Below are 9,996 nucleotides of genomic sequence, written 5' to 3'. Positions count from 1 at the left end.
GTTGGTCAGGCTGGTCTTGAACTCCTGACCTCAGGTGATCTGCTCATCTTGGGCCTCCCAAAGTGCTGGGATTACAGGCGTGAGCCAACATGCCTGGTCTAGAATGTGTAGATTTTTAAAAACACACACAGTGAAATACTGTTCAGGCCGGGCGTGGTGGCTCATGCCTGTAATCCCGGCACTTTGGGAAGCCAAGGCACGTGGATCACTTAAGGTCAGGAGTTTGAGACCAGCCTGGCTAACATGGTAAAACCCCATCTCTACTAAAAATAAAAATTAGCCAGACATGATGGCGTGCACCTGTAGTCCCAGCTACTCAGAAGGCTGAGGCAGGAGAATTGCTTGAACCCAGGAGGCAGAGATTGCAATGAGCTGAGATTGTGTGCCACTGCACTCCAGCCTGGGGGACAGAGCGAGACTCTGTTGCAAAAAAAAAAAAAAAAAAAAAAAAAAGAAAAGAAAAGAAGAGAAAAAAATACTATTCACCTATAAAAAGGAATGAAATACTGATACATAGATGAACCTTGAAAACATGATGCTAACCAGACACAAAAGGCCACATATCGTATGATTCCATTGATATGAAATATTCTGAGCAGGCGAATTGGTAAAGACAGAAAATAGATGCGTGGTTGCCCAGGGCTGGGGAGGTGGGGATGGGGAATGACTGTTGTACGGGGTCTCTTTTCAGTGTGATGAGAGTGTTCTGCGATTACACAGTAGCGATGATGACACCGCATTGAGAATATGCTAAAAACCAGCGAATTACGCACTTTAGAATATGGTAAAAATGGTGAGGGTTTGAAAAAATAGACTGAAATGCAGGAGCCGCCATTCGGCCAGGGAGGTGGGTAGGACGTCTGAGGATTCCTTCTAGAACCATGGTGAGGGGCAGGCCTTGAAACCTCCTCTGGGTAGCCGCTTGCCCTCACTGCTCCCCTGAAATCAGCCCTGTCCAGCTCGCCAGTGACCCTGCCTCAGCCCTGGTCTTCCTCGACTAGCAAACAAATGCCTCTTCTTCTTCTCCTTCTTCTCCTTCTCCTTCTTTTTCCTTTAAATTGAGACAGAGTTTTGCTCTTGTTGCCCAGGCTGGAGTGCAGTGGTGCAATCTTGGCTCACTGCAACCTCCGCCTCCTAGGCTCAGGCGATTCTCCTGCCTCAGCCTCCCAAGTAGCTGGGATTATAGGCGCACGTCACCACACCTAACTGATTTTTGTATTTTTAGCAGAGATGGGATTTCGCCATGTTGGCCAGGCTGGTCTCGAACTCTTGACCTCAAGTGATCTGCCTGCCTCGGCCTTCCAAAGTGCTGAGATTACAGGTGTGAGCCACCGCGCCCAGCCTTCCTATTCTTCTGCACGTCCTTCCTGTCTTCTGGGACCACAGCACTCTGGATCCTCCTCCTGCCTCCCTGACTGCTCCTTCTCAGTCTGCTGCTGGCTTACTGATGCTCACATGTCCTTAGATTGCTTCTCTGCTGGTCAGCTCACTCCCAGGTGCTCTCAGCAGGTCTCAGGCTGTTAAGTAACACCCAGTCATCAGTCCAGCCCCAAGTGTCCCCTTACTGCAGACTCCATGCCCAGCTGGCTCCTCAGCCTCTCCACAGAAGGCCCACTGAGAAGCTCATACCTAACTTCTGCAAGGCCACTTCCGTTTGCCTGGTGGAAACTTGCTCCTCCCAGACTTCCCTATCCTTGCTCCTGGCAGCCCCATCCTTCCTTTTGCTCAGGCCAGCAATATTGGTGTCACTTAAAAATGGTAGGGCCAGGTGCGGTGTCTCATGCCTGTAATCCCAGCACTTTGGGAGGCTGAGACGGGCGGATCACGAGGTCAGGAGTTCAAGACCAGCCTGGCCAACATGGTGAAACCCTGTCTCTAAAAAAATACCAAAAAAATTAGCTGGGGGCATTGGTGCATGCCTGTAGTTCCAGCTACTTGGGAGGTTGAGGCAGGAGAATTGCTTGAACCCGGGAAGTGGAGGTTGCAGTGAGCCAAGATTGCACCACTGCACTCCAGCCTGGGTAACAGAGTGAGAATCCGTCTCAACAAAAAAAAAAAAAAAAAGAAAAGAAAAAAAGATGGTTAAGGTGGCTGGGTGTGGTGGCCCATGTCTGTAATCCCAGCACTTTGGGAGGCTGAGGCTGGAAGATCACTTGAGCCCAGGAATTCGAGGCCAGCCTGGGCCACATGGTAAAACCCATCTCTACAAAAAATAAAAAAAACCTTTTTTTTGAGACGGAGTCTCGCTTTGTCCCCCATGCTGGAGTGCAGTGGCGCGATCTCAGCTCACTGCAATCTCTGCCTCCTGGGTTCAAGCAATTCTCCTGCCTCAGCCTCTTGAGTAGCTGGGACTGTGTGGTGGCGTGCACCTGTGGTCCCAGCTACCCGGGGGAGCCGAAGTGGGAGAATCGCTTGAGCCCAGGAGGTGGAGGCTGCAGTGAGCTGTAATTGCACCATTGCACTCCTGCCTGGGTAACAGAGTGAGACCCTGTCTCAAAAAGAAGAAACAAAAAGGAAAAATAAAAGGAAAATATAAACCTAGATTTTTTTTTTTTTTTTTATGGAATGAGATAATGTGGTAAAGCTCCCCGGCAGTGCTTGGCACATGGGAGATGCTACACTGACTTTTTTTTTTTTTTTTGAGACAGAGCCTCGCTCTGTCACCCAGGCTGGAGTGCAGTGACGCTATCTTGGCACACCGCAACTTCTGCCTCCAGGGTTCAAGCAATTCTCCTGCCTCAGCCTCCCGAGTAGCTGGGACTACAGGTGCTCACCATCACACCTGGCTAGTTTTTGTATTATTTGTAGAAATGGGGTTTCACTGTGTTGGCCAGGCTGGTCTTGAACTCCTGACCTTGGGTGATCCTCCCATTTCAGCCTCTCAAAGTGCTGGGATTACAGGCGTGGGCCACCGTGCCTGGCCTCCACTGACATTTACAGGAGGCCTAGGATGCTGGAGTGACCGGAGGAGGTGGTGGGAATGGACTCAGGGCTCCAAGATTCCCCACTGGGCTCCTGGCTCTGCTCTCAGATGGAATGTTCTTGGGGCAGAAACAGAGACATAACAGGCAGCAGTCTCCTCTTGCGGCTTGACAGAGAAGATCCGGAGAGGGCAGAAACGCGGGCCAGAAAGAGGGGAGAAAATTCAGGCTGGATTCAGGCTCAGACTGAACAGAAACCCACGAGTATTGCAAACATTCTCCATCTGGCCACAGCCGCGTCTGTAATCAGGCTGATGAGAAGTACTCGCACCAAAAAGCAACCCTGGAAAAAAGAGGATGCTTCTTATCGGGGGCCTTCCCTTTCTTTCGGGTCTTTCCGTATGGAATTCAATGATGACTTTGGAGGAAAGTTTGAGGAGAAAAGGCAATAAAAGTGATGGAGAGGTTGTAGGGCCTAATTATGGGGAGAGATGAAATGACAGCTTGGCTGTGGCACAGTCCTGGGGGAGACGTGGCCTCATGCTGGCTGATGTTAAGGGTCCAGATGGAAGGAGAAGTTGGGGAGAGTCTGGGAGGATGTGAGGAGGAGGAATGAAGTGCTGTTATGAAAAGGAAGTGATAGGCTGAGGTTCAAGAGGATTTCTGGGCCAAAAACCCATTGAGGAGAATAATGGTCTCCCAAGGGCCCTGGAAACACTCCATTGCTTGATATAGTCAACATTTTACAAGATCAAGTCTCAGGATCTGTTCTGTCGGGAGTGACCACCTCTTCCCCAACTTGGATGTTTCATCTCCAGGCTCTCTGCCTCTTTTACCCGTTTGTGTGGGTTTGCAGCCTCGGTCTTCTGGGCTGTGGACAGGGCTCTGGCCCTGAAACACAGGCTGGGAGGCGAGTTCAGTGAAGAGGACCAGCACGCCTGCCTTCTGCTCCTCCTAGGAGAGTCTCAAATAACAGATGGCGGAATAGCCAGAGAGCATCTTCATCCCGCCGGGGTCAAAGGAGGAAGGAGCAACCAGATGAGGTGGGAGGCTCTAGGAATACTAGGGGTAAGCAGTCAGTGGGCTTCTGGTCTCTGGTCCGAGCTGACACATATTTGAGCGGTTTCTCTTCTTCCTTTTTTTTTTCTGAGATGGAGTCTCACTCTGTCGCCCACGCTGGAGTGCAGTGGTGCGATCTCAACTCATTGCAACCTCTGCCTCCTGGGTTCAAGTGATTCTCCTGCCTCAGCCTCCTGAGTAGCTGGGATTACAGGCGCCCGCCACCATGCCCAGCTAATTTTTGTATTTTTGGTAGAGATGGGGTTTCACCATGTTGGCTAGGCTGGTTTTGAACTCCTGACCTCAGGTGATCCACCTGCCTTGGCCTCCCAATGTGCTGGGATTACAGGCGTGAACCACTGCGCCCGGCCCCATTTGACTGGTTTCTTTTGGGACAGTTTCTTTGACTTCTCTAATTCCTCTGTCCCATGGGGTCATGATGCCTCAACACTTCTGATTTGCCCTCATGTGTACCAGTTTCAGGCCAATGGCCTCCTTTATCTATTCAGCATTCGTAGTTGAAGCCAACCTTAAGAGTGGCTGAAAACATTCCAGATCATCTGGGGTTCATGGGAAAAGTTGGGGCTGGAGATATATGTCTGGGAGTTGTCACCACGTAGATGGCGTTAGAGCCCTGAGTTGGGGAGAGTTCACTTAGGATGTGAAGGTGGGTGGAGAAAACAAGACTCTGGCCTTGAGCTCTGCGCCAGCCAATCTTAGAGGCTGAGAGACTTGGAGGAGGAGGAAGAGGAAGAGGAGAAGGGAGTGGGATGGACAGAGGATCCCAACGAGCACTTACAGAGCATTTACCACGTTCCAAGCACTGGGAGAGGGAGCTGGAGGGCCCCACGCCTGGCCCTCCAGTAGCTTCCGGGCCATTGGAGGAGGCTGAGTAACAAACCGCCACCATCAGACTTGGCAACAAGTTCATTGAGGGGTTAGTTGCTGGGGCTTGGGCAGTAAAGAGAGGTGCATCAGAACCCTACAGGGTATCCAGAGAGGGCTCCCAGAGCCTGAGACACGGGAACTGAGTCTCAGAAAACAAGTGAGTGCTGGAAAGTGAGGGGCAAGGTGATCCCGAGAGCCCACAGGAGAGGCGCAAACTGAGAATTGCAGTTGTTAGATGGGGGTCCATGCAGAGGGGCAGGGGATCCCTGATTGGCAGAGCACTGGGAGCCTTCTGTTTGGGTTTGATCCCATGGGGCTGTGGCCACAAAATCAGGGGTTAGGGGTCAGCAAACTATAGCTTGCAGGCCAAATCCCTCCTGCTGCCTGTTTTTGTACAACTTGCAAGCAAAGGACGATTTTTACTTTTTTTTTGAGACAGGGTCTCACTCTGTTGCCAGGCTGGAGTGCAGTGGCGCGATCTTGATTCACTGCAACCTCTGCTTCTTGGGCTCCAGTGATCCTCCTGCCTCAGCCTCCTGAGTAGCTGGGACTATAGGCGCACACCACCATGCTGGGCTAAATTTTTGTATTTTTAGTAGAGATGGGGTTTTGCCATGTTGGCCAGGCTGGTCTTGAATTCTTGAGCTCAAGCAACCCTCTAGCCTCAGCCTCCCAAAGTGCTGGGATTACAGGTTAAGCCACTGCGCTCGGCCAAATTTATACTTTTCTTAATGGTTGGGAAAATAAATCAAAAGAAGAACAATAGTTCATGGCTGGGCGCAGTGGCTCCTGCCTGTAATCCCAGCACTTTGGGACGCCATGGCAGACAGATCACCTGAGGTCAGGAGTTTGATACCAGCCTGGCCAACATGGCAAAACCCCATCTCTACTAAAAATACAAAAATTAGCTGGGTGTGGTGGCACATGCCTGTAATCCCAGCTACTCGGGAGGCTGAGGCAGGAGAATCGCTTGAACCCAGGAGGCGGAGGTTGTAATGAGGCGAGATCACACCACTACAGCTTGGGCAACAGAGCAAGACTCCATCTCAAAAAAAAAAAAAAAAAAAAAAGAGGAGTAGTAGTTCATGACATCTGACAATGATATGAAAATCAAATTTCAGGCCAGGTTTGGTGGCTTACACCTGTAATCCCAGCATTTTGGAATGCCAAGGTGGGCAGATCACTTGAGGTCAGGAGTTCGAGACCAGCCTGGCCAACATGGTGAAAACTCGTCTCCACTAAAGATACAAAAATTAGCTGGACATGGTGGTGGGTGCTTGTAATTCCAGCTACGCAGGGGGCTGAGGCAGGAGAAAGAGAATTGTTTGAATCTGGGAGGCGGAGATCGCAGTGAGCTGAGATCATGCCACTGCTCTCTAGCCTGGATGACAGAGTGAGACTCTGTCTCAAAGAAAAGAAAAAAGAAAATCCAATTTCAGTGTCCATATATAAGGTTTGATTGGGACAAGGCTTCATCTGTTCAGAAGCTATAGGCAGTGTGTGCTCTCCAATGGCAGAGTGGAGGATTTGCACTGAGACTGGTGAACTGCAAAGCCTAAGCTTCTCACATCGAATCCTTTAGAGAAAAATTGTGGAGGCTTTGTGACATGGTATTTTAGACACCCAGTGGTATTTTAGACACCCAGTGGCAAACAGGACAGACAGAAATTGGGGCTCTTGTGGTTTCCATCCTGGAGGGGGATGCCTCTCTCCAGCATTGCCTCTTTCTGAGGGCAGAGACCACGTGGATGGGATCGGCTCCTGGTTCTAGGATTTCTCCTGTTCCTCTTCCCAGGAGTGGAGTCAGCTGTCACAGGGAGCCGGTGACCCTTAAGGCCAGGACCTGCCGGAGCCTCCCATGTCGCTGCTCGCTCTCCAGCCCTCTGGGAGAGGTGACGTGGGCCGTGTGGGGCCAGTGCAGGGCACCCTCTCTGGCATGGCGTTTATGACGTGGTTGTAACGGGCTCCAGGCCAGGAAAAAGATGTACCTGCTCCTACAAAAGCGAGCCCTTCTCATGAGTGCACTCTCTCTCCCTGGTGGAGTAGCAGTGGGAACATCTTTTACCCAGAGCTGAATGTTATTGTTTTGTTTTTCCTTCAGGGACGAACTGTTCACTCAAGGGCAGGCACCAAACCTTGTTTTCTGGGGAGGGGAGGCCACCTCCCATGGCTCCCCTGCAGGGACTCACATGGTCCTTGGAGCTCTCCCTTGAAGGCTGTGAACAAAGACAGAGCGGTCCAGCCCGGGAGTTCATAGCTCCCTTTGGAGCCCCTTGGCTCGGCCGGCCTCTGACTTCAGGGTTGCTTGGCTGAGCAGGGTGCTCCCAGTGTGCTCCTTGGTGTGAAGATATGCCTGTGTCACTTCCCGAGTGTCCCAGCAGCTGGCTCAGGCTTGGCCACCCTTGCTCAGCTGGAGAGCCCCTCCATCAGCAGAGGCAGCCTTGTCGGTGGCTAACAGCAGGGCCTGGAGCCTGAGTGCTGGGGTACAAATGTCGCTCTGCCACTTAGCAGCAGTGTGACCCGGGCAGGCTGCTTAACCTCTCTGTGCCCTTGTATCTATAAAATGTGGTAATACTAGTGCCTGCCTCGTAAAGCCTTTATGAGAATTAAGCGACTTAGCATCTGGAACATACTTAGAACAATGCCTGTGTGCAGGCCGAAGCAGACCTGTCTAGGACACTAACCCGCTGTGTTGACTTCTGATTATCACCAGTTCCAGGAACGCCTCTGAGATTTTTATTTTGTCTACTGCTCTTGCGTAAGAACATGTACTTTCGGTAAATCCTGCCTTTAGGTCAAAATAACCTTTTGAAAAAATATATTAAAAAAATATAAATAGAGACAGGGTCTCACTATATTGCCCAGGCTGGTCTTGAACTCCTAGTCTCAAATGATCTTCCCACCTCAGCCTCCCAAAGTGCTGGGATTACAGGTATGGGCCACCACACCCAGTCCCAGAACAACCTAGACCATAAGCCCTGCCCTTAGGCAGATTCACTTGGCATGCTTACCTTTCTCTACAATTGTCTTATATATTGCTTCCCTATTGGTGTATAAGCCCTGGGTCTGGGAGGGAATGGCGTAGGGATCCATCATCTTGCCTTGCAGCCGCCTGAAATGATGGCTTCTGTTCCTAAGTCCCTATTAAATTTCCCTTCCGAAGCTGGGTACGGTGGCTCATGCCTGTAATCCCAGCACTTTGGAAAGCCGAGGCAGGTAGATCATTTGAGGTCAGGAGTTTGGGACCAGCTTGGCCAACATGGTGAGACCCCATCTCTATTAAATATACAAAAATTAGCCAGGTGTGGTGGCAGGTGCCTGTAATCCCAGCTACTTGGAAGGCTGAGGCAAGAGAATCACTTGAACTCGGGAGGGGGAAGTTGCAGTGAGTTAAGATCGCGCCACTGCACTCCAGCATGGGTGACAGCGAGACTCTGTCTCGAAGACAGAGAAAAAAAGTTCCTTTCTGAGAAATGATATATCAGCCTCTTTGTTCCACCTCTCAGCTCCCTTGGACTTTGGGGGCAGGTTTGCACAGATTTGCACACTGCAAAACAATGGTGGCACAGAATGTTCCTACGCGTTTTTGTGACATAAATAAACAGAGGGAGGTCCTCAGAGGGACCCTGGCTCTCTCCTTCTCTCTGTTCCCAGAGCACTTTATGAATTTGCTCTTCTAGCACCTGGCCGTTTTGTTATAGGGTCCAGGGTGGGCACTGCCTGAAATATCTGTGCCCCGTCCATTACCTTGCAGAGCACCTGGCTCAGTGTAGGCTCTGGGTAAATGAATGAACGAATGAGACACCCCACCTTCCCCAAATTGGTAGAAAATGTTCCTGGAAAAATGAGTCCCTGTGAAGGAAACTTTGACCATAATTTCCAAAGGAATTTCAAAGCAGAGTCCATGTTTCCAGGGTTGACCAGCACGGCTGCTGGGTCTGGCTGGGAACTTGGAGGTTGGCCAAGTGAGCCCAAAGCGAGCGTGTGGCAGGGAGGGAAGAGCAGGTGCTTGTACGACAGGATGGTGAAGGAGGCTTCCAGAGGACGAAGCTTTGGGCCAGCCAGGACCTGCCCTGCTGAGCCCAGGAGAGAGGCCAGCACCTGCTGGCACTCAGCCAGTGGTGGTTTCCCCCAGGACAGTGTGGAAAGGGAGGCTTGTTCGTTCTTTTAGGCTAAGTCTTAGGAGAGACTAGGTTATTAGAATTTTAAGGGCTGGAGCTGAATGTGGTGGCTCACACCTGTAATCCTACCATTTTGGGAGGCCAAGGCGGGTGGATCACCTGAGGTCAGGAGTTCAAGAGCAGCCTGGCCAACATGGTGAAACTCCATCTCTACTAAAAATACAAAATTAGCCCGGTGTGGTGGCTGCTGCCTGTAATCCCAGCTACTTGGGAGGCTGAGGCAGGAGAATTACATGAAGCTGGGAGACAGAGGTTGCCGTGAGCCGAGATTGCACCACTGCACTACGGCCTAAGCGATAGAGAGAGATTCTGTCTCAAAAAAAAAAAAAAAAATACTGGGCATGGTGGCTCACGCCTGTAATCCCAGCACTTTGGGAGGCTGAGGCAGGTGGATCACTTGAAGTCGAGACCAGCCTGGCCAGCATCGTGAAACCCTGTCTCTACTAAAAATACAAAAATTAGCCGGGTCGGGGGTGCATGCCTGTAATCCCAGCTACTAGGGAGGCTGAGGCAAGAGAATCACTTGAACCTGGGACGCAGAGGTTTCAGTGAGCCAAGATGGCGCCACTGCACTCCAGCCTGGGTGACAGAGAGAGACTCCATCTCAAAAAAAAAAAAAAAAAAGAATTCTAGGAGCTGGGTGTGGAGTGGAGTTGGTCCAGGGAAGTTAAATATGATAGTTGGCTCCGAAGCCCAGCAGCTCCAAGGGGCATGGAGTGCTCTAGAGAAACAACCTTTGCTCCCTGACAAGTCCGTGGTTGCACCAGCAGGGGAGCGGGTCCACCCCAAGGAAACATAACTGGTCTTGCCTGCAGTCCGGGTGAACTATGCATCTCGGTCCTTTGGCTCAGGTCCTCTCTTGGTAGCCAGTTTCCAAGCAGTCCTGGGTCACCCAGCTTGGCCCCACCCATCTGTCCACACCTTAGCTGGCATCCAGAGGTGATGGT

The 9,996-nt window shown here is 51.1% G+C and overlaps 1 annotated feature.

The window, feature by feature from the left end:
* Positions 7,108-7,308: a silencer, noted in NCBI's record as "peak54 fragment used in MPRA reporter construct". NCBI's record gives its function as "represses an SCP1 promoter by STARR-seq MPRAs in K562 erythroleukemia cells {active_cell/tissue: K562}" and the evidence as "EXISTENCE:reporter gene assay evidence [ECO:0000049][PMID:32103011]".

Source organism: Homo sapiens, chromosome 1, assembly GCF_000001405.40.
Source record: "Homo sapiens chromosome 1, GRCh38.p14 Primary Assembly".
Taxonomy (NCBI): domain Eukaryota; kingdom Metazoa; phylum Chordata; class Mammalia; order Primates; family Hominidae; genus Homo; species Homo sapiens.
Note: the sequence above shows the minus strand (reverse complement) of the source record. Positions and strands in the feature narration are given on the sequence as shown.